Source organism: Homo sapiens, chromosome 8, assembly GCF_000001405.40.
Source record: "Homo sapiens chromosome 8, GRCh38.p14 Primary Assembly".
NCBI classification, from domain to species: Eukaryota; Metazoa; Chordata; class Mammalia; order Primates; family Hominidae; genus Homo; species Homo sapiens.
Window position 1 is genome coordinate 103,982,412 of NC_000008.11, and position 23,728 is coordinate 104,006,139.

The 23,728-nt window shown below is 34.0% G+C and overlaps 1 protein-coding gene and 1 long non-coding RNA gene across 66 annotated transcripts in view; one reads left to right on the plus strand and one right to left on the minus strand.

Moving 5' to 3' along the window:
- RIMS2 (regulating synaptic membrane exocytosis 2) overlaps positions 1-23,728 on the plus strand; it is a 755,485-nt gene that overhangs the window by 481,802 nt on the left and 249,955 nt on the right. For 51 of the 64 annotated variants that reach the window (NR_145710.2, NR_145711.2, XM_017014015.3 and 48 more), the window contains one exon: positions 6,894-7,010. Coding sequence is in view for 62 of the 64 variants with exons in the window: in XM_017014015.3 (XP_016869504.1) it covers positions 6,894-7,010 (117 nt within the window). In the remaining 2 variants the exon portion in view is untranslated. Of the gene's footprint in view, positions 1-6,893; positions 7,011-15,773; positions 15,840-23,728 lie in introns of all 64 variants that reach the window. The other 13 variants (NM_001395652.1, NM_001348487.2, NM_001348486.2 and 10 more) reach the window with 1 other exon arrangement.
- Positions 17,415-23,470, minus strand: LOC105375689 (uncharacterized). Of its 2 annotated transcripts, XR_001745678.2 has the most exons (4): positions 23,312-23,470; positions 20,047-20,107; positions 19,897-19,963; positions 17,415-17,501 (listed from the first exon to the last, which is right to left on the minus strand). It is a non-coding gene; the product is annotated as an uncharacterized LOC105375689 (long non-coding RNA). The 2 variants fall into 2 exon arrangements; XR_001745675.2 differs by lacking the exon at positions 20,047-20,107.

Sequence of the window (23,728 nt, forward strand, 5' to 3'; positions counted from 1 at the left end):
TGATACCAAAAGCAGACAAAGACACATAAAAAAAAAAAACTACAGACCAATATCTCTAATGAATATTGATGCAGAAATCCAAAAAAAAAAAAAAATACTAGCAAACCAAATTCAACAATACATTAAAAAGGTCGTTCATCAAGACCAAGTAAAATTTATCCCTGGGATGCAAGGATGATTCAACATATACAAACCAATTAATGTGATATATCATATCATCAGAATGAAGTACTAAAACCATATGATTATTTTAATTGTTTCTGAAAAAGCATTTGATAAAATTCAATATCCCTTCAAGATAAAAACCCTCAAAAAACTGGGGATGCAAGGAACATACCTCAACATGATGAAAGCCATATACAACAGACTCACAGCTAGTATCATACTGAATGCAGAAAAACTGAAAGCCTTTCCTCTAAGATCTGGAACATGGCAAGGACGCCCAGTTTCACCACTCTTATTCAGCATAGTACTGGAAGTCCTAACTAGTGCAATCAGCCAAGAGAAATAAATAAAGGGCATCTAAATTGGAAAGTTAGAAGTCAAGTTATCCTTGCTTGCAGATGACATGATCTTATATTTGGAAAAACCTAAAGGCTCCACCAAAAACTATTAGAACTGATAAATTCAGTAAAGTTTCAGGATACATGATCAACATAAAAAATCAGTAGCATTTCTATATGGCAACAGTGAACAATCTGAAAAAGAAATCAAGAAAGTAATTCCACTTATAACAATCACAAATAAAATTAAATACCTAGAAATTGACTTAACCAAAGAAATGAAAGATCTCTACAATGAAAACTATAAAACATTGGCGCAAGAAATTGAAGATGGCACACACAAAAATAGAAAGATGTTCCATGTTCATGGATTGGTATAATCAATGATGTTAAACTTTCTATACTACCCAAAGAATTCTACAGATTCAGTGCAATCCCTATCAGAATACCAATGACATTCATCACAGAAATTGAAGAAATAATTCTAAAATTCATGTGGAGCCACAAAAGACACAGAATAGCCAAAGCTATCCTGAGCAAAAAGAACAAAACTGAAGGAATCACATTGCCTTTCTTCAAATTATACTACAGCGCTATAGTAACTGAAAAAGCATGGTACTGCCATAAAAACAGACACGTAGACCAATGGAACACAATAGAGAACCCAGAAACAAATCCATACACCTACAGTGAACTCATTTTTGACAAAGGTGCCAAGAGTATACATTGGAGAAAGGAAGGTCTCTTCAATAAATCGTGCTGGGAACACTGGATATCTATATGAATAATAATGAAACTTGACCCCTATCTCTTGCCATATACAAAAATCAAATTAAAACGGATTAAAGACCTAAATCTAATACCTAAATCTATGAAACTATTACAAGAAAACATTCAAGAAACCCCCTGAGACATTCATCTTGGCAACAATTTCTTGAGTAATACCCCACACACAGGCAAACAAAGCAAAAGTAGACAAAAGGGCACAGTGGCTCGCGCCTGTAATCCCAGCACTTTGGGAGGCCAAGGCGGGCGGATCACGAGGTCAGGAGATCGAGACCATCCTGGCTAACACGGTGAAACCCCGTCTCTACTAAAAATACAAAAAAAAATAGCAGGCGTGGTGGCGGGCACCTGTAGTCCCAGCTACTCGGAAGGCTGAGGCAGGAGAATGGCGTGAACCTGGGAGGCGGAGCTTGCAGTGAGCCGAGATCGCGCCACTGCACTCCAGCCTGGGCGACAGAGCGAGACTCCATCTCAGAACAAAAAAGGAAAAAAAAAAGTAGACAAAAGGGATCATATCAAGTTAAAAAGCTTCTGCACAGCAAAGGAAATAATGAAGATACAACCCACAGAATGGGAGGAAATATTTGCAAAGAAACTATCCATCTCAGAAGGGATTAATAGCCAGAATGTATTAGGAACTCAAACAACTGTATAGGAAAAAAATCCAATAAGCCAGTTAAAAAATAGGTAAAAGATTTTAATAGAGATTTCTCAAAAGAAGACATACAAATAGCAACCGGGCATATCAGAAGATTCTCAACATCATTGATCATCAGAGAAATGCAAATCAAAACTACAATGACATGTTATCTCACTCCAGTCAAAATGGCTTATATCCTAAAACAATAACAAATGCTGGTAAATATGTGGAGAAAAGGGAACCCTTGTACACTATTGGTTGGAATGTAAATTAGTACACCCTCTATGGAGAACAGTTTGGAGGTTCCTCAAAAAACTAAAAATAGAGCTACCATATGATCCACTATCCCACTGGTGGGTATATACCCAAAAGAAGGGAAATCGGTATATCAAAGGCATATTTGCCCTGTCATATTTGTTGCAGTACTGTTCACAATAGCCAAGATTTGGAAGCAACCTACATGTCCATAATGGATACAGAAAATGTATTTATGCATGGTGGAGTACTATTCAGCCAGAAAGAAATGAGATCCTGTCACTTGTAACAACATGGATGGAACTGGAGGTCGTTATATCAAGTGAAATAAGCCAGGCACAGAAACACAAACATTGCATGTTGTCACTTATTTGTGGGATATAAAAATCAAAACAATTTAACATATGGAGATGGAGACTAGTAGGATGATTACCAGAGGCTGGGATGGGTCGCAGTGGGTGAAGGGGATGTGGCAATGGTTAACGGGTACAAATAATAGAAATAATAAATAGAACCTAGTATTTGATAGCACAACAGGGTGACTATAGTCAAAATAATTTAATTGTGCATTTAAAAATAACTAAAAGAGTATAATCGGGGCCAGGCACGGTGGCTTACACCTGTAATCCCAGCACTTTGGGAGGCCAAGGCAGATGGATAATGAGGTCAGGAGTTCGAGACCAGCCTGGCCAATATGGTGAAACCCCGTCTCTACTAAAAATACAAAAATTAGCCGAGCATGGTGGTGCGCGCCTGTAGTCCCAGCTACTTGGAAGGCTGAGTCAGGAAAATCACTTGAATCTGGGAGGCGGAGGTTGCAGTGAGCCAGGATTGTGCCACTGCACTCCAGCCTGGGCAACAAAGCAAGACTCTGTCTCAAAAAAAAAAAAAAAAAAAAAAAAAAAAAAGAGTATAATTGGATTCTGTGTAACACAAAAGATGAATGCTTGAAGGGATGGATTTGGGATTATTAAGTATTTTGTGCCCTTATCAATATATCTCCTGTACTCCATAAATACATACACCTACTATGTACTCACAAAGTTAAAAAATTAAAATTAAAAAAGATATCTGCACTCCCATGATCATTGCAACGTTAGCCACAACAGAATTGATATGGAATGAAACTGTCATCAACAGATGTACAGGTAATAAAAATGTAAATATACACAATGAAATACTATTCAACTTCTAAAAAGAAGAAAATTCTATCATTTCTGACAACATAGTTGAACCTAGAGGGCATTATGTTAGGTGAAATAAGCCAGGTATAGAAAATAAATACCACATGATCTAACTTATATATAGAATCTAAAAAGTTGCAGTTTCTGAAGCAGAGAAAAGAGCCTGGTGGGGTGAGAAGATTGGGGAGATATAGGTCAAAAGACCTAAAATTTCACTTAGACAAGAGGAATAAGTTCAAGAGATCTATTGTATATAATGGCAACTATAGTTAATATATACTTGAAAATTTCTGAGAGGGTAGATTTAAAGTGTTCTCACACAAAAGAATAAATATTTGAGGTAGTACAAATGTTAAATAGCTTGATTTAGCCATGCTGCAATGTATACACTTATCAAAACATCATGTATACCATAAATATGTGCAATGTTTACTTGACAAAAAAATTTTTAACGAAAATAGAGAGCTAAATAAACACTGAATTTAGGAAACAGTACAGAACAATGGAGAAAGTCCTGAAAAAATGTGAAGGATGGAATTAATAAAGATTAGGGAAAAATCAGTGAAACTGAAACAAAATGAGGCACAGACAGTAAGAAAAAGAAGTGAAAGATAAGAATGTATGTTAACCCACAAGTTAGTTATTTGAAAAGATTGGTGACATCAATACAATAAAAGGATTGTACATGGAAAATGAGAGGTATAAATAAATAAAACATTGAAAAAGGGAAACAACTACAGATAAGAAAAAGACTTTAAAAATAGCAACCATTATGAAATTATGTTATTAAATTTGTTAATCTAGGTGAAATGGTTAAATTTCTGAAATTGATATAAAATATTAAAATTGACACAAGAAGAAATGAAAGTTAAAATAACAACTAGTGTTCATGACCAGCCTGGCCAACCTGGTGAAACCCCATCTCTACTAAAAATACAAAACAATTAACCAGGCGTGGTGAAAGGCACCTCTAATCCCAGCTACCCAAGAGGCTGATGCAGGAGAATCGCTTGTACCTGGGAGGTGGAGGTTGCAGTGAGCCGAGATCCTGCCATTGCACTCCAACCTGGGCAAGAAGAGTGAAACTCCGTCTCAAAAAAAAAAACAGTAAAATAAAATTAAAAAAAAAACAACCAGCAAATAGGTTGAAATGGTACTCAAAGACAAACTACTCTCTTCCCGCCATCCACCCATAAAGAGAATTCCAGACTAAAAAGTACTATGGGTAAGTTTTAACCAAGTTTTTGAGAACTAATATCTGTTCTATACAACTGGCTCTAAAACCAGATAAAAAAGGAAAGTTGCCTAATTCTTTTTCTGGAACTAACATAACCTTAGTTCTAATTCTTAGAGTATAATAAAATATATATGTATTCCTTTTTCATTTTTTTTTTCAAGGACAAAGTCTCACTATGTTGCCCAGGCTAGACTCGAACTCCTGGGCTCAAGCAATCCTCTAGGCTCAGATACCGGGACTATGTGCCTCTGTGCCCAGCTTAAGAAGCCCATTTTAGTTACAAACGTATGTAAAAAATCTTACTTTAAGTAAACCTTACCATGAATTTAAATCATGTCGGTGAGACACCAGAAAAATTGTTATGGTAATTCATCATATTAATGGACTAATGGGGAAATAAATCTTATCAGAGGCAGAAAAAGAATTTTATTGTTCAACTTATATTCACATAAGATACTAAACTAGAAGAGAACCACCTACACTTCATAAAGGCTTAATAAAGCAAGCATTATACTTAATGGAAAAACTTTAGAGAAATTTACATTAATAGCAGAAATAAGAGATGGATGTTCATTAATATTGTCACTGTTTAAAATAGTACTTCAGGTCCTGAAAAATGTTGAGAAAAGGAAATAAGAGGTTTCAGGATTGAAAGAGAAGAGATGAAAACCATCATTATTTGTTAATGACAGGATTATCTCCACAGGAAACCCAACATAACCAAAATATTAAAACTAATATAGGAGTTCTGTCAAGTAGCTGTCCATAGATCAACTTATGAGTAATTACTAATTGGAAAATATAGTAAAATGTAAGTACTGTTCTCAAAAGTAACCCAAAGTATCCAACAATTCATGTACTAAGAATTCACAGGATCTTTTCAAGTAAGAGGTAAAACTTTGGGTAAGGAATTAATGAGAGATATGCCCTATGCATGGGTCAAATTACTTCCTATAATAAAGATATCAATTTTCCATAAATTAATTTATAAATCTAATGCCATAACAATCAAAAGTTTGTGTGCAATTTTACAAACTTGTTCTAGGCATTATGTGGAAGGATAAAGACATACCAATAAATCCATTTTGAAAAAAGAAGAGAAAAATTTGCCAGCAGGCAAAAATAATTAAAACTAGGATGGAACTTGAATAACAGCAGCAAAATAGACATATTGAAGGGAATCGACAGTAAAATAATAATATATATACATTTACAGCGATATTTGTATGTGAACTTGACATATGATGATAAAGTGGCACCACAATTAATATGCAAAGGGTGGGTCAGACAGGGTAGGAAAATTAGCTCACCAATGGAATAAATTAAAAACTGGACTCCTATCTTTCATCCTACAATATGACATGCCATGTCTTAATTGTGTTTTAAAGGGCTGTTGCGTGTCATCATGGATGAGGTAAGAATTGAAGCCAGAGATTACTTAGGTAGCTTTTTTATTTTTTGAGATGGAGTTTCGCTCTTGTTGCCCAGGCTAAAGTGCAATGGTGGGATCTCTGCTCACTGCAGCCTCCACCTCCCGGGTTCAAGCGATTCTTCTGCCTTGGCCACCCGAGTAGCTGGGATTGCAGGCATGCACCACCACACCTTGCTGATTTTTTATTTTTTAGTAGAGACAGGGTTTCTCCATGTTGGTCAGGCTGGTCTCGAACTCCCGACCTCACGTGATCTGCCCACCTCAGCCTCCCAAAGTGCTGGAATTACAAGCATGAGCCACCACACCCAGCCTAGGTAGCTATTTTATGGTATATTCACAAAGATGGTAGTTTGGACTGGAGTGGTATCAAGGGAGATGGCGCAAAGTGTGCAAATTTTGACTTGTTCCCCTAAGCTCCGAACTCATGTCCAACCACCTATGAGGCATCTCTATCTGCAATCCTATAGGTCATGTATGCAAATGTGTCTAACACTGAACATATTTTCTCCATACAAATCTTCTCCTCTTGAGTATATTATTGAGTATCAGTACTAGAGACCTGGTAGTCATCCATATGATGGTTATATATAAGGATATATGATAGTCCTTATCATATCCCCACTGTTATTAGTTTAATTTGAGCTCCTTGTGCTGCATCTCTTGTAGCAGTAATCTTACTTAACTGTCAACCTTCCACTGAAACTTATACCTTTAGTTAGAGATGCAATTAATTAAAACAAAATTTGGACTTCACCATATAGTGACTTTGTCTTTTTCTACTGTGCTTTAAAATAAACCTCGTTTCTTAGTGTTTCAAATGGTTTACTAAGATATTGAATAGATCTTGTTGTTTTAGTCGGAATGTGGAACAGGGGCTTCGAGGGACCCGCACTATGACCGGACATTATAATACAATTAGCCGAATGGACAGACATCGTGTCATGGATGACCATTATTCTCCAGATAGAGACAGGTAAATATGATTAAATACTATTAGACCTTATTATTAATATAATCACTGCTTTCAGGAAGGGGTTACCATAAAATATTTTCACATATTCCTTTTTCTTAGTTTCTGAAACAATGTTTTTCTCTTACAACGCTTACATTATTTCTTATGACTGCCACATTGTTAAAGGTAAATAAATACAAACAACCTTTTCTCTGGTAAGAAAAAAACAAAATTATCTTTCTCCTGCCATTTTGTTTTTGGTTTAATCAAACCAGTTAAGTTAGTGAATCTGTATAAGTGATTATAATGTTAATTATAGTGAAACCAAGATGTTTTATTATTTTTCTTGTCATAAACAATTATATATATAAATACTTTCATGAGACAAAAGATTTTAAAGTCTTTTACATTCATCAGAGAAATTGGTGTGACTTTTCACATATGGAAGTATTGAGACGGAGTCTGATTTGTTTAGGAAACATTTTATGATTCATGAAGAGGTTTTTCCTCATGGCTTTCAGTAAACCTTTTAAGCATCTTAAAGATTGTTTGCTGTATTTGGAAGAGCTCTCTGAATTTGCTCCATTAAATGTCACAAACTTGGAAGTAACATGGTATGTTACAATGCTTACATTAGCTGCTATTAATATTTTTAACTTAAGCAAATCGATAAACTCTCTAATTCATGCTTTGGTTATACATGAAGTAAATGCCATTATGTTTCCCAAACTATTCAAAGATATGATAAAATAACGAAGGAACTCAGAAGTCCCTTTGTATGCATCCTAAACCGATTTTAGGAAGAACATTTGAGGGCTTTTAAATAAGCTGATATGAGAAATTACTGTTTACATTTAAACACTTAATTTTTTTGTCTAAATTAAGATTATACTTAATTCATGCTTAATTTCACTGTGATTTAGTATACTTCTCCAGAACTAAAGAGGGGATATCATAGTCTTCAATAGTGTCTAACAAGTATTGGCTTTTGTGCCTGAGATCTAAGAAGAAATTATATGTAAGAAGTTATTAAATTAATACTGCTTTTAGTGATAAATGAAAGCTAATGTAGTATTTTATTTTCTTTTAATTTGCTTAACTTTTTCATAGTAATCTGTGTCTTTAGGGGTAATTATAGACATGCTACATGTAGAAGTTGATGCTTATCAAGTACAATACTGTAATAGAAAGAAGGGTAACTATGTTGGCATGATTAGGAGTTGAAAGGAGTCATATTAGGATGAATGAAGAGGTATTTTAGTTGCCTAATATAGCATTTTAATGAGCTTGATTGTTTCTGGAAATTATTTATATACCAAGTCATAAAATCCTTGTTCCTTGAAGGTTTGTTAATGGAAATGATGAGAGAGAAAATTCTGAAATGAATTTAAACTTTGTTCAATTTTATGTAAAGTTTTATTTTAATGAAAAAATGGACTTTGTTTTCTTTAAGACAAATAAATGCTGTCTAAATCTTGAAGAAAAATAAAATTAACATCTAGAATTATAAATAAAAATGATTGCTATCATGTCAAATGCATAATACTTTATAAATATTTAAAGGCAAATGACCCTAGGTTTAATGGCAGCAAAGCTTCCTATTAAAGCCTAGATGATTAATCCTTGGTATTAGTTAATATGGTCATATTAGGTAATTATCATGTCAGAGATATCCTACAATGTGCATTTTTATGGTCTGTCCCAATTTATGTCTGCAACTGAAACATCATTATATTTTTATTTTTTATTTAAAAAATTTATAAATCTTTTAGTTTAGCAAAAATGTTCATATAATTATTTTCTGAAGTTTTCAAGAAAATTGATCCATGTGGTTTTTATTTCTCTTTTAGAGCACTGTCAATGCCAGATCACAATTCCTCTTAATTGTGAGCTGCCTTAAATCCTTTTTTCAAATAAATAAAATAGAATTTTATTTAAATAGAAATATAAAACCATTTCTAATATTATTTATCTGTGTAATTATTTATTAACATGAGGAATAAAAAATTTAAAAGTTCAATATTATATATGTGGTCTGTCACATTAAGCAACAAATTCTTAATCTCTGTTTTATCTTAATATTCTAAGAGTTTTGGTAATAAAATGCATATGTCTGCATTATGATTTTTAGAAGATAAGAATACTCTAGAACTCTTACAGTGAATTTTCATGAATAGCATTTTAATCAATAATAATGTTGATTAAAAAGCCTAAGAGAGAATTTCCTTTGAGATAATAATAGTAATTTAGGTCTTTTGAGAGGTACAATAACTAACCTTTCTTGTCAGTAAGAATTGATGCACTGGACTAGAATAGTATTTTATTGAATGTATATATTTTATTGAATCTTTTTTATAGGATTTGAAACCAAATGGCCTTGATTTTGAATGCAGGATTTAACCTCTTGCTACCTGTGTCTTTGGGAAAATTAACCTCTTTGACACTTGATTTTCTTATCTGTAAAATTAGAATATCAGTATCAACTTTACTGAGTTGTGTAGATTAAATGACTCGTATCAACTTTATTGAGTTGTGTAGATTAAATGACACTGCCTCCAATTGTATAGTAGGTATTGAAAATACGTGCTTTAACCTTACCATTTTAAAAGGATATATTCACTTGCAAATAATTTACATTTAATGTGCTTAGTAAACAAGAAAAAAAGAGAGATAGAGAAATCAGCCAGTTCACTTAGTGTTGTTGTTGTTTTGTTTGTTTGTTTTTTGAGACAGTGTCTCACTGGGTCACCCAGGCTGGAGTTCAATGGCGTTTTCTCAGCTCACTGCAACCTCTGCCTCCCAGGTTCAAGCGATTCTCCTGCCTCAGCCTCCAAAATAGCTGGGATTACAGGCATGTGCCACCATGTCCAGCTATTTTTTTTTTTTTTTTTTTTTTTGTATTTTTAGTGGAAACGGGGTTTCGCCATGTTGGCCAGCCTGGTCTTGAACTCCTGACTTCAGGTGATCCACCTGCCTGGGTATCCCAAAGTGCTGGGATTACAGGCATGAGCCACCGCGCCTGGCCCATGTAGTTTTTTGTTTGTTTGTTTGTTTGTTTTTTAAGTTTTGTGTAGAATGAATGTAGGGCATGAATTGGACCTTGAAAAATGGGCATGTTTATTCAGGCAAGACCAAGAGCAAGGATAGACTATAATGAGTGAGAAAAGATGCTATTTGATATTCATTAATAGTACTTGGTTAAACTTGGGTGGTGTAAGGAGAAGATATAGTATTTATATCCTTTCTATAGGTAATGTAAAAATAATTTACACTTTAAATTTTTATTAGGTCTTTGTTTCTCTGCCTATCTCACTGTGTTATCATTAGTCAAAATCCTATTCTGCTTTGCAAAGTAGATAGATTCTTCACAAGTAATTTAGTAACCTGGATGCAAGGACTCAGCTAAAACAAGGAATTATTAAGCATATCTTTCATCTCCTACTTCCATTCCACCGCTTTTTATACCATTGTTTTTCTGATAAGTCCTGGTAACTACTACAACTAGGAACATAATTTTTCCTGAGGCAGACTATGTGGCCTTAGTATTAGAAATCAATACAAAAATTAGCCAGGCACGGTGGCAGATGCCTATAATCCCAGCTACTCAGGAGGCTGAGGCAGGAGAATCGCTTGAACCCGAGTGGCAGAGGTTGCAGTGAGGCGAGATCGCGCCACTGCACTCCAGCCTGGGTGACAGAGTAAGACTGTCTCAAAAAAATATATATATATTTTAAGAGCTTTTTGTTTACTTGAGTTAGTTTACTATTAGAATAAGTATAGAGTATTAGATAATATTTCTGTAACATGTCAGAAGTACTCCACAGTATGCATTTTTATGTCTATCCTGGAGGCCAAAATACATTAGATGCATTTATTTCCATGGAGTGTACTTTTAGCATCATAAGAATACAATTAATGTTGGCAAAAGATAAATTACTTTATAAGCTTTTTTTCTCCTATACATTCAGTTAATAGATATATATTCTAAAAAGGAAAATGCCCTATTATATGGACCACTGGCATACCTTACACACTCATGCTATTTATCTATTCCTTGTCAGGAAGTCAGCTACCAGAAAGTGTAACTCGTACTCATAACTATTTCACCAAAAAGAATAGTCTCTTTTTTCCTTTCAGTTATCAACTATGAAGGAAACATATCTCTGATAGTTTAAAATTATGAAGTAAATGAAAAAAGAAAATTCACTTTACAAAAATAATATAACGTTTTATTTTACTTATTTTATTTGCTGTATTTCGGAAACATTTTAAGACAGTTAAATCATACTGAGTAGAATGTAGGGACTACAACATAAGGAAAGCATTAACAATATTAAAGACACATGCCAGGCACAGTGGCTCATGCCTGTAATGCCAGAACTTTGGGAGGTTTAAGCAGGCACATCACTTGAGCCCAGGAGTTCTCAACCAGTCTAGGCCATATAGTGAGACCCTATCTCCACAAACACACACAAAAAATAAAAAATAAATAAAATTAGCCCAGGTGTGGTGGTGTGCACCTTTTTTTTATTCCAGCTACTCAGGAGGCTGAGGTGGGAGGATTGCATGAGCCTAGGGAAGTCAAGGCTGCAGTGAGCTGAGATCGCACCACTGCAGTCCAGCCAGGGTGACAGAGCAAGACCCTGTCTCAAAAAAAAAAAAAAAAAAAGAATAAAAAAAATGTTTTTGCATTAAGTAAGGGTTTTTGGAAGCTATAGTTTTACTTAAGAATGGAATACTTTATCTCCCATTTTTGCAGTTCTTTTTTGTATGGACTAAAGTGATTCCTAAAGGGGACATTCGGCTAATTTCATATAGTGGAAGGACAATTCATTATAAATATAATTTTGTGTTGTCTTTAAAGGTTATATTGCTTAAGAATCAAAGTGTCTAGAAATTGGATTAGTAATCTAGTTTAATACTTTGAATAGTAATTTTTTATCATGAGCCTTAGAATCTATGACTTCTTTATTTTGTTTTTGCTTTTTAAAATTTAGTAAATGTATTGTTTTTCTATTTTTTTCTTTTACAGTGATTTACTGCTCAGATTGGACTAACTGCAGTTTTAATATAACTTACTTTATTTGTTTAGTCATTATGCATATTTAAGACACTATGCATACTTATTGCTCAAATTTAATAATGTCCATTAATTTTGGAAGAAAAGTAAGCATGGTTCAGTGGAGAAGTGTAATATGTTTTAAGGTTGTACCAAGTGGATGCAGCAAAGGACCTTGAGTATGGCTGTGGACCTTAGGTAGATTTTAGAGGGCTTACTAAAACACAATGGTAAATTTTGTATAATGTTCATGCATGAGTTTTTATAGTTTTCAACAGAATCTCAAGGAGGGTCATGACCAGATAAGGTTAAGAACTAACATGACTAGAGACAGAAAAGAGAAATAAAATAAATTGATGCTTGATAAAGGTGATTCTTGCTTAATGGCTGCTTTGGCTTTATAGGGACAAAGTTAATTATAAGACTCTTCAAGGAAACTATTAGAAATTGGATGATTTTATATATATATTTTATAAATTTATAAATTTTAGCAAGCTTTGAAATTTACATATTTTCTGTTATTCTTAAGTAATTTTGGAGAAAACCTATTCCTTTTAAAGCAGTAAAGCCCAACATCACAACTGTTGGGTATTATTTCTCTTCTTCATAAAGCTATGTATACTTTTTTAAATATTTCCTTACATAGGCTCATAATCTTCTGTTTATGTTTCTAGAATGTTCTATAATTATATGAACCACTGCTCTTTTTTGAGAGAAGGCTCATCGTGAAAACAGTATAATTTTGATTTTACTTTTTAGTGCAATCCAAAATATATTTGAGTGGGTCAGCCATTGTGCACAAAGATTTAAAACAGACATTATCCTGGTCTAGCCAGACAAATTATCCTATATCAACTAATTTTAAAATGTTGAAGACTGTGTGGCAGAAGGATAACAATACTGGAACAGATTGGAGAGAAAATTACTTGATTGGGTGAACTGGAAAAGGCATCACAGAGAAGTTGGGCTTTAAAGATTGAATAAGATTGTGAAAAGTGAAGCAGTGGAGACAGAGGGAGAATGGTGGGCATTCTTGACAGAATGATGAACATGAACAAATTCTTGGAGTCAGGAAAACACATGATAATTTAGAGAATCTTAGGTAGTCTGTTGTACCTAGATAAGAGGTAGTGGTATGGGGAATGGAAAGTGATAGAAGATGAAGATTGAAAGTAGTTTAGAACTTTTAGGGAATTTATACTTGTTTTTTGATATCAGGAACCAGTGAAGGATTTTTAGTAAGGTACCTATGTGATCAGAAAGCATAATATGCAAATAAACTTCTGTAGACAAGATGAAGATTGTATTTAGTCAGGGGAAGACTGGGGTCTGAAGGTAGGAAGTCCTAAGAGAAGGTTGTTTCAATAGACATAGTAAACCTGATTTAAGGTGGTGGCAGGAGAAAAGGTAAAGGAGAGAAATCTGAGTTATTTAGGCATCAGAATAAGCAAGGCTTGTAAATCCATTGAATGTGAAAAATGAGGAAATGGAGGAGTTAAATTTTGAGACTGTAAAACTTGGTTTATTAAATAAATATTTTAATCCTTACTTGAAGCTGGAATTGCAAGAGATTACAAAAAAAGGAATAGCTGAAGTATTATATTAAGTTCTAAAGGGGGATTAAAGAATTACGTTAGAAATTAGAAGGGACTTTAGAGATGATGGACTCCTGTGTTTTGTAGAGGTACCTGAGAGACTGCTATGACAGGTAAAAATGAGGCCAAATGGATAGAGATCTAGGCTTCTTACTCTCTTTAGCCAGCATCATCCTGATATTATTTGATTACTGTATATTGATTCTATATCAAATTTTGTTTGGAAAAAAAGTGATGTGCTAAAAAAAAAATAGAGTTTGAAAACCACTGCTTGAACCTCCTCGTAAATAGGCAAAGGGTATTGTTCTAGTCTCACAATGAACATATGTTTTCCTGAAGTGTCTACATGTCACTCAAGCATTATGTGGAGAGCCCAGAAGCAGATGGAAAAGTGTTGTGCAACCCAAAGAATAATCAGTAATAAAGCAGAGTTATTGTTTACACCATAAAAACAATTGCATTATTTAGAAAGAATGTGTTGGAATATAAGATCAGGAAATGAATCTTGGGAAAATCACTGCCTCTCTACAGAGAAAGGAAATCCAGTACATTAAATGCATGAAGAACCACTCATATAGGTGAGAGACCAGGCTGTATGTACAAATGTGTTAAGAGCCTGAGTTTTGAATTAAGAAAGCCCTGAGTTTGAAACCCAGTCCTGCCACTTACTATATAGCTCTGAACAAGCACTCATATCCTCAGTTTATCTGTCTGTGCAAAAGTGGGAATAGTAGAACCTACCTCAAAGAGTTGTTTTGAGAAGTAAATGAGATAATGTAGGCAAAGCTTTTAATGGAGTACTCGGCATATAGTTCAGTGTATATGAACTGAACTATAAGTTAAATAAAGACTATTTTTAATAGCTAGAGAGGTTTCAGAAACCAAAAAAGGAGAGAGTATTAAAAAATAGAGGTTTGAAAATCAATGTCTAATACCAAACGTAAGTGGAGTATGATGAGGATTAAGAGGAGACGAAAGAATTTTGGGGGAATTGCACATTCATAAGACAGCTTCGAGAGTGTGGTAGAAGCAGAAGTCAAATTACAGTAAGCTTAAAGCATGAAAGCAAACTCTAGCAGAGGTGGCAAGAATTGTAGATATGTATTTTAAGATGTTCTATGTTGAAAAGAAAATGAGCGAGATACAGTGGCTTGAGAGGAAGGAAAGATTAGCAAGGGTTTTATTTTTAGGATTAAGTGCAGTTGAGGAAGGGAATAATAAATGAAGCAAGGTCATATGGGAAGCAGGATTACAAGTAGAGGCATCTCTTTTGGTGCAGAAGACAAGAACAAGTGAAGATTTAAATGTATGTTTACTTTATATTTAGAGATAGAATTGTGGAATTTGAGAGAGTTCAAGGTTCATTTCCATTGTTTATGGAAACATAATGATAATCTGCTAAGATTAATTGTTTTAGTATTAAAGGTTCTAAGAAAGTAGGAAATTTTAAATTAGTGCTGTGGAAAGAAGAGATGGGTAAAAGATCAGTGTGCTGCTTGGATTGCTTATGGTAGTTATGAGGCATGAAAGGTAGCAAAGCCAATAGCATGTAATACATAATACATAATAAACATAGTGAATGGAAAAATGAATAGCACCCAATAAATTTAATAAATACAATTAATAATCAAAGTAATTTGGATCAGTTTACTCTTTATTAAATGGAATTGTTAAGGCCCTTTGTAGTTATTTTTAATTATTAATAATTAAAAGAGAAATAGTTACCTTTTAAATTTCCCAACTTTTATAAGTATTTGAAATTACCTCATTTATTATTTCCTTCTTAAACTTTCTGCTTATTTTATTTTTCTCATCTCATCTTTCCTCATAAAAAATGGTAAAGCATCTCTATCATATAACATTCTAGGTGGTGCTAAAGATGTTTGAGTAATAACTGATGTTATATTGTTGTTGCATTTTATTTTAAAATATTTAGAATATTTTAACCTTTGGCACTGTCATATTACAGTGAACATTGGGAGGAGGGGGCAAGCTTTCCAATAACAGTTTCCATGTGCTTTGCTTACTGTCTGCCTATCTTTTAAAATCTCACTTTTTAAATTAAACTATACTTTTTTTTCACTTCTTTCTTGAGTCTTATTTATATTCTTGTTTCTGCCATGCTTGCAGTCATTTTCTTACTCTACCTCGCTCCAGATACAGTCAGACCATTGACCATCATCACAGGGATGGCAGGTATATTTTTCTTACAATTGAGTCTGTTTGTGGAATTGCTTGTGCCTGTGTATTGATATGATATAGTTCACTTTTATTTCTGTTTTTATGTATATACATATATGGTTGTTAATGAAATATAGAAATATCACCCACATAAAATAACATGAAATAAAACGTATTAACTAATTGTAGTAGGACATAAAAAATACAGTGTCCCTTTTGTAAATTAGGAGAATCTCTTTGGTGATTCTAAAAATTTAGTTCATCAGGAATTACAGTTAACTCTCTATTTATCTACAAATATAGAATAACAGTATTATCTTTAAATTAACTCCAGTTGACTACTCACCTTCCTCAGCAGAGTCCATAATTAGGTATTTAGATGGCATAGGTCTTGAAAACTCACTTTCCCACCTCCAGAGTAGAGGAATCTGTCCTTGAAGTGCTTAGGTTGAACTGATTTGTTTGTGGTTGCCTTGTCAGAGGTGGCTGTAATCTACTCCTTTGTCATAGTAGATAATCCTTATCTGCAGAGAATACTGAGTCTGTGAGAAAACACTTGTTCATTTCTACCCTACCACCATTTCTCTTTCCAAAGTGGGAATTTGCAGTGAATCATAGATAGTACAGCTACAATGCCTTAAGGAAATATAATTTACATTGGAGGGAAATCTCAGTTACCTGGCATATAATAGCAAGAAGGGTTAACTAGAAAGAGGGGTTAATTAGAAAGAAAAGAGAGAGAAGATCTCTAAAATCTGAAAAGTTCTCAAGGCTGTATGGAGATTTAGAGATTTGAGCCAGTGACAACATTTGAGATCCTTTAGGTAAAGAAATAATGTGGTGGAAGGCTTAGCTAGTATAAATTAGGAATTATGTGCCATGGTTGGTCACCTTGACTGTTGTTTCTAAGTGATTTAGAGTTATGTGTGACTTCCTTCATCCCTATGAAATTAACTAAGAGTTGATAATAAAATAGTTTATAAAATTGATTAAAAACTAAAGAGTAAATTTATAAGTATTTTATTTATGTGGGTTAATGTGAAAGGAAACATAAGAGGTAATAGCAACAGTAATTTACTAGTAACTTTTGTAATGTCTTTCAGCAAATATGATTGAAATTTAGTGCCTTCCAGTTTATTATATGATAATGGTTATTGCTATATTTAATTTTCTTTTGCATTTTTTCACTCTTTTTTGTTATTCTGCTTCAATCCTAAATAATTATCTTTTGTTGTTTTTTGTTTTTACTGTTGCTATATGTTGCATTCCGACTATTTTTTACTTTCAGTAATTATACATTTACCTTACAAAAATATGGAAAAGTAGTTATATAACTGTATTTTGATAATTGGCTAAACTTAAAGGTGGGTGACATACATGAATGAGACATTACTGATTATAGACTTACTGTATATACTCTGGTGTCTCTTCATTTCATGCTAAGTTAAAGTCATATCACATCACTTTTTCAATAGTTTGTATTTTCTTAGTCTCAGTTATCAACAGATAGGTTATCTGCTTCATGTTACTTAGTTTTTCCATTCAGCAATGTAGCTAGAATTAGTTCTTGATCATCTCAATTTTGTACTTTTCCCCAAATTCTCAACTTCGGCCTAATTGGCCCATTTTGAAGAAGACATTTATGAATTGTCTTTCTGTGCCACAATTTGGTTTGTGCTGAGAAAACAGAGATCATTAATGTTTATATTAAAATATAACATGGAAAAATCTGTTTCCACAAGCAAGTTATCAAATATCTAATGTAGGATTTAGTATGTATATTTACATGTATATGTAATATTTATTTTATATGTATTAAAGTATTTGCCTTGCCCTAGTGCAACAGAAACTCTTGAGGACCTAAGTCTAGTGACCTAGACAATATGGGTAGAATTTGTAAGAATGAAGTTCCTTTGTTTTTTTAAAAAATATTTTGTACCCATTAACCAACCCCTCTTCATCTCCTTCTCTCTACTATCCTTCCCAGTCTTTGGTAACTACCATTCTATTCACTGCCTCCATGAGATCAATTTTTAGCTCCCATATATGAGTGGAAACATGCAATATTTGTCTTTCCGTGCCTAGCTTATTTCGTTTAATATAATGTCCTCCATTTTCATTCTTCTTGCTAATCATGCATTTCATACCTGATTTTATTCTTTCTGTTTTAGCTGATACTCCATTGTGTGTATACATATCACATTTTATTTATGCATTCATTTGTTGATGGACAATTAGGTTGATTCCATATCTTGGCTATTGTAAATAGTGCTGCAGTAAACATGGGAGTGCAGGTATCTCTTCAACATACTGATTTCCTTTCTCATGAATATATACCTAGCAAAGGGATTGCTAGATCATATGATAGTTCCATGTTTAGATTTTTAGGAACCTCCATACTGTTTTCTATACTGGTTGTATTAATTTATATTTCCACCAGCAGTGTACAAGCACTCCCCTTTCTCTTCATTCTCTCCAGCACTTGTTATTTTCAGAATTTTTTTATAATAGGCATTTTAACCTGGGTGAAATGATATCTCATTGTGGTTTTGATTTGCATTTCTCTGATAATTAGTGATGTTGAGCATTTTTTTATATACCTGTTGGCCATTGTATGTCTTCTTTTGAGAAATGTCTATTCAAATATTTTATCCATTTTAAAAAATCAGATTATTATTGTTATTTTGTGCTATTGAGTTGTTTGAGTTCCTTATATATTCTGTTTATTAATCCCTTGTTGGAAGAATAGCTTGCAAATTTTTTCTTCCATTCTGTAGGTGTCACTTCACTTTGTTTATTGTTTTCTAAACTGTACAGAAGCTTTTCACCTTGATAGAATCTCATTTGTCAATTTTTGCTTTGGTTGCCTGTGTTTTTGAGGTCTTACTCAAGAAATCTTTGCTAGATAGAAGGAATAAAATCTAGTGTTCAATAGCACAGTCAGGCAACTATAATTAACAATAGCTTACTGTATATTTTAAAATATCTGGAAGAGAAGATTTGAAATGTTCCCAACACAATGAAATGTAAATGTTTGAAGTGATGTATATCCCAATTACCCAAATTTGATCATTACATATTATATATTTGTATCAAAATGTAACAGTACCCCATAAATATGTACAACTATTATGTATCCATAAATTTTTTAAAAATATTAGCTTTCATTCCAATTTTGCTACATATAAATGAATGTGTATTAGTTACAACACAATGTAATAACATGAACATCCTTGAATCTACCACCCAAACCAAGAACAGAACATCTAATTATGTATCTTATATTTCCCTGCACTCTCCTTGCCTGTTATATCCTTGTGCCTCTTTCACAGAAGTAATAAATGCTATGCTGAGTTTGCAGTGTAACTTTCTCTTTTTTTTATCTTTTTTAAGGGACTTTGATCATTTGTTATTTACTCTACTAACTTTCTAAGTTTCTCTTCCCTCTGACCTCCATCCCAATCCACTTTGAGATTCTTGGACTGACCTTTTTTTGGACATTTGTTGAACATGTGAATGCTGACCTAGTAATCTATCCATTCTCCTGTATTTATTTCTGTAATGTTTCGTGATTGTTATTTTTATATCTTGTACCTTTGTATGTAATGCAACTAAACACAACCACCCACTACCCTTCCTTGTTGCTGTCATTTGTTGAGCTCTTAGTAATATCATTTTATTCACGGATGATTTTAGAACCTGGCTGTAGTCTTCCTAAACTTCACAGTTCCTGCCATCAAGCCTGAGTAATGTCAGCATTTACCTGAATAATCTATTTAGCACCCACTCACTTCCTTAACTTTCTCTAATGTAGCAAGCTTTACCTCCAATTCTACTTTGGTCGGTCACTCTCATGACCATACTTTACATTTTATTATCAGTAGAAATTGTTCTAGCTCTAAAATCTTAATTTGAATACTATGCCCTTGGACTCCATGATTGCACACTTTTTTTTTCTTATTGTTTCATTAAGTTATTTCTACTTCACTTGTTCTTCTGTCTCAGTAGAGAATGCTACTCTCTTGATCCCTTTATTCTTGCTGTTAGCCTCCATCTTTATTTATCTACTTACATATCCAGAAGTTGAATCCATTCTCAAAAATATCCTCAATTCTCTTGCTGCATTGTTCTTCTTTTACCTATTTAACAAAGTTCAAACCTGGATTACTCTCTTTCTCTTGTAGAATTGTTTTTGGACTAGATTATCCAAATTTTTACTTACTTGAGTCAAAATAATTGACCACATAAAAGTGGACAATAAAAAGTAACTTTTTTATTGAGAGCTGTGGAAAAAGAAAGTAGCATCAGTATCTAAGTATTCAGTTCTCTAGCCTCGTTTTCAAGGTAGCATATACTTTCAACTGGAAATTGTTTCCTAGGAATAAAATATGTATTAATAGCTTCAGTTGGGCCATAGTTTGGCTATATGATATCTGGAACTTTCTAAATGAATGGGATGAAGGTAGTAAATTTAACATGGCATCCCCAGTTATGCCCACTCCATTAGAAGAAGCTGGGCTTTCACTGGTCTCTCTACCCTGGGGTATAACATGAAAAGTTATGAGGACTACCTCTTTGGGAACAGGAGAGTAGAGACTTAAATAATGTTTGCTAAGCTTTTTTTATATTACTTCAAGAGACAATATTAACTAACACTAGAAATCAAAGCATGTCTTCTGTCCAGGTTATGCTAACTAGTATGAAATAATATTTGATTCATTGTGCATTTTTAAATTCACTCATTTGAACAAACATGTTTAGGATGGATATCATGTTACCCTTTATTAATATCTCTTTATTAAAATATACCCTTTATTTTAATAAATATAACCTTTTTTAACATTTACCTTTGTACCCTACTTATTTTTCTAGTACTTATCCCTGCTTAGAGCTATACACAACATATTAAGGAACTACTAACATCTATGGTGGGCAGCTAGATTTTTATGTAAAGTATCATGGAAGACACAACAACTCAGCTGTATCTTAAAGAATAAATAGGAATTATTTAGATTGATGTGGAGGTGAGGGAGGATATTTGTGACATTTTAAAGAAATGTATGAACAGGGTCACAGAAGTAATAAATATCGTATTTTAGAATTGTTGTAACATTATTGGCAAGGCAGGAAATAGCAAGAAATGAATCTGGAATGATAGAGAGTGTTCCACTTGTGAAGAATCTTTTTTTTTTTTTTGCAATGGAGTCTCACTCTGTCACCAGGCTGGAGTGCCAATGGCATGATCTTGGCTCACTGCAACCTCCACCTCCCAGGTTCAAGCGATTCTCCTGCCTCAGCCTCCTGAGTAGCTGAGATTACAAGCATGTGCCACTGCATCTGGCTAATTTTTGTATTTTTAGTAGAGATGGTTTTTCCCCATGTTGGCCAGGCTAGTCTCGAACTCCTGACCTCAGGTGATCCGCCTGCTTTGGCCTCCCAAAGCACTGGGATTATAGGTGTGAGCCACCATTCCTAGCCTGAAGAATCTTATATACTCTTCATAAATGTTAAGGAACTTAGATCAAAGACTGTAGGTTCTAGAGGTACTTGGAAGGGATTTAATTAGAAATGGTGATAACAAGTTCATTCACCTTAGAGTACCTACCTATAGACTACGTGAATGATCGATTTGAAGAGAAAAAAGCAAAAGAGAGACATGTAGTAGATGGAAGAACAGAGAGAAAATAGTGGTTTTAATAAATTAAAATCAGCAATACTTGATAAATAATGGAATTTGGATTTTGAGAGAGTGCAGAGTCATGAAAAATTCCCAGTCTTATATCTTCAATAACTAGATTCATAAGGTACCTTAACAGGGTCCAAGTGGGTTCTTAGGGGAGGAATCAGTTTAGGTGTGAGACAAGTTCAGTTTTGGAATTACTGAGAAAGCTAAGAGGAAATATCTAGCAGGAACAGAGTAAACAATTTTTGAACTTGAAGTTACCTAAGCTACAGAGTAATTTCAGAGTAAATTCACTACTAATGGTAAGCAGTCATAAAAAGTAAGTGAAATCAGTCTGAGAAACAACCCATGAAATGAGGGCTTAGAAGTTTTTCCCTGCCTGAGGAACATTAACATTAAGTGGCAGAGGGAGGAAGAGGAGCTTCTGAGTGACATAAAGAATGAGAAAAGTGGAATGACGAGAGCTAAAGGAATAGTTTCAAGAAGAAAGTAATAACATTACAGTAAAAATAATGAATGAAAAATGCCTGTTGGATATGTCAAGTGAGGTGTCATGGATGACTTTAGCTGGGGTAATTTTAGAAGGATGGTGAGGGGGGAAAAAACAGGTTGCAGTAGCCTAAGTATGACCAGGAGATAAGAAAATGAACTTATCAAGAAAGTGTGAAGGAGAAAAATTAGATAGCATATGTGATATCAAAAGATATTTCTTTCCCTTCGAGTAAGAAATATGTCCATGTGTTCCCACACTGGAGCAAAGAATGTTTTAGAGAAAGATAAGTCAAAAATACAGAAAAAAGACAGAATGATTGGAAGAAGAGTCTTAGGGGAGGTAGGAGGTCATCAGACTAAACACACAGATGGATTTTGTGAACAGAAAGAAGCTATTATTTACCACTGAGACAGGAAGAAAATAGATGGGAGAAGTGAAGCTGAGTAAAAGGATGCTAATAGAGAGAAATTAAGTTTGTTATTAAACCATTGTTAGTGTTTTAATGACTGTGTGAGTAGGAAGATTGGTTAGAAGGGAATCTGAGCGCTGTATGGGAGTGGTTCAGATGATCAGTCATAGAGTCCAGGGTGGATAAGGAAAGAAGAAAGTCAAAGATGGTGATATATACTGCCAGGAATTGGTGGGACTGATGCCAGAATAAGGTAAGGGTTATTGCAGTCTTGAAAATCTGGAGACTGGGGTTCATGATTGTTCAATGATTTTCTGCCTTTGCATTGAAATCTTCTAGCACTACCATAGTCAATCCCTAAAATTACCAATGACTAAGGGATAGTGATTGGAAGTTGGATAGATAATAGCAACCTGTATTAATAATGAATGTTACTGCCAAGTGGAATGCTTAAGAGAAGTAAGGACTATGTCCATTATGATTCGGGGGGTAATTGTCAGAAATGTCTCTAGGGAGCCAGCTTCCCCTCCTGGATTCCTGGACTGTGAAATGTGAAAGAATAAGTAGCTTCTGCAGATGAAGGCTACAATGGAAGCAGAGGCTACACAGTTGAACTAAATGTTATTTAAGGCAAGAATATGCAAAAACCATCCTGCAGGAAGGTTGATGTTTAAGGAAGTTTATTAACAATGGAGTAAGGATTCTCAAAAATACAGAAGAGAATTAGAAGAGATTAAGAATGGTATGGAAGAGAGTATAGTAAATGAAGAATTTTGAGAGAAGATATCAGGGGGCAGTGGGGATAGCCTTTTACTTGATAGCCAAGAATCACAGAGATAACATACTTGAATAGAACTGATTAAATTAAAATATTCTAAGTTAATTGTCAGTTGTTTTAATACCAGAACTGGCTGAGGGTCCCTGGACAGGTTTGACCTGTGTCCAGATTAATGATGAGGGCTGCTATGAAGTTTGAAGAGAGGCAATGATGGTCCTTTGTCAAGATGGGTAACATAACTAGAACCCTGGTTAAAGAAAGGATTCTGACAAAGCTAGTGGAGTCATGGTAAAGGACGAAAACAGTCTATGTAGAACATAGACTATGTTCTATGTTCTACGTAGACTGTTTTCTTAAAGATTCCCTACATGTAAGGTAGTGCTGAGAACTCTTAGTCAATGTGATGTAAGCCAATAACACACTTTCCCAACTGCTATCATTTTTAATCTTAATTTCTCTACATTACAAATCATCTTCTGTCCTCTTACAACTGTTTTGTTCTCCATCAAAACTAAGTTCTATTTACATTTCTGACTCTAGC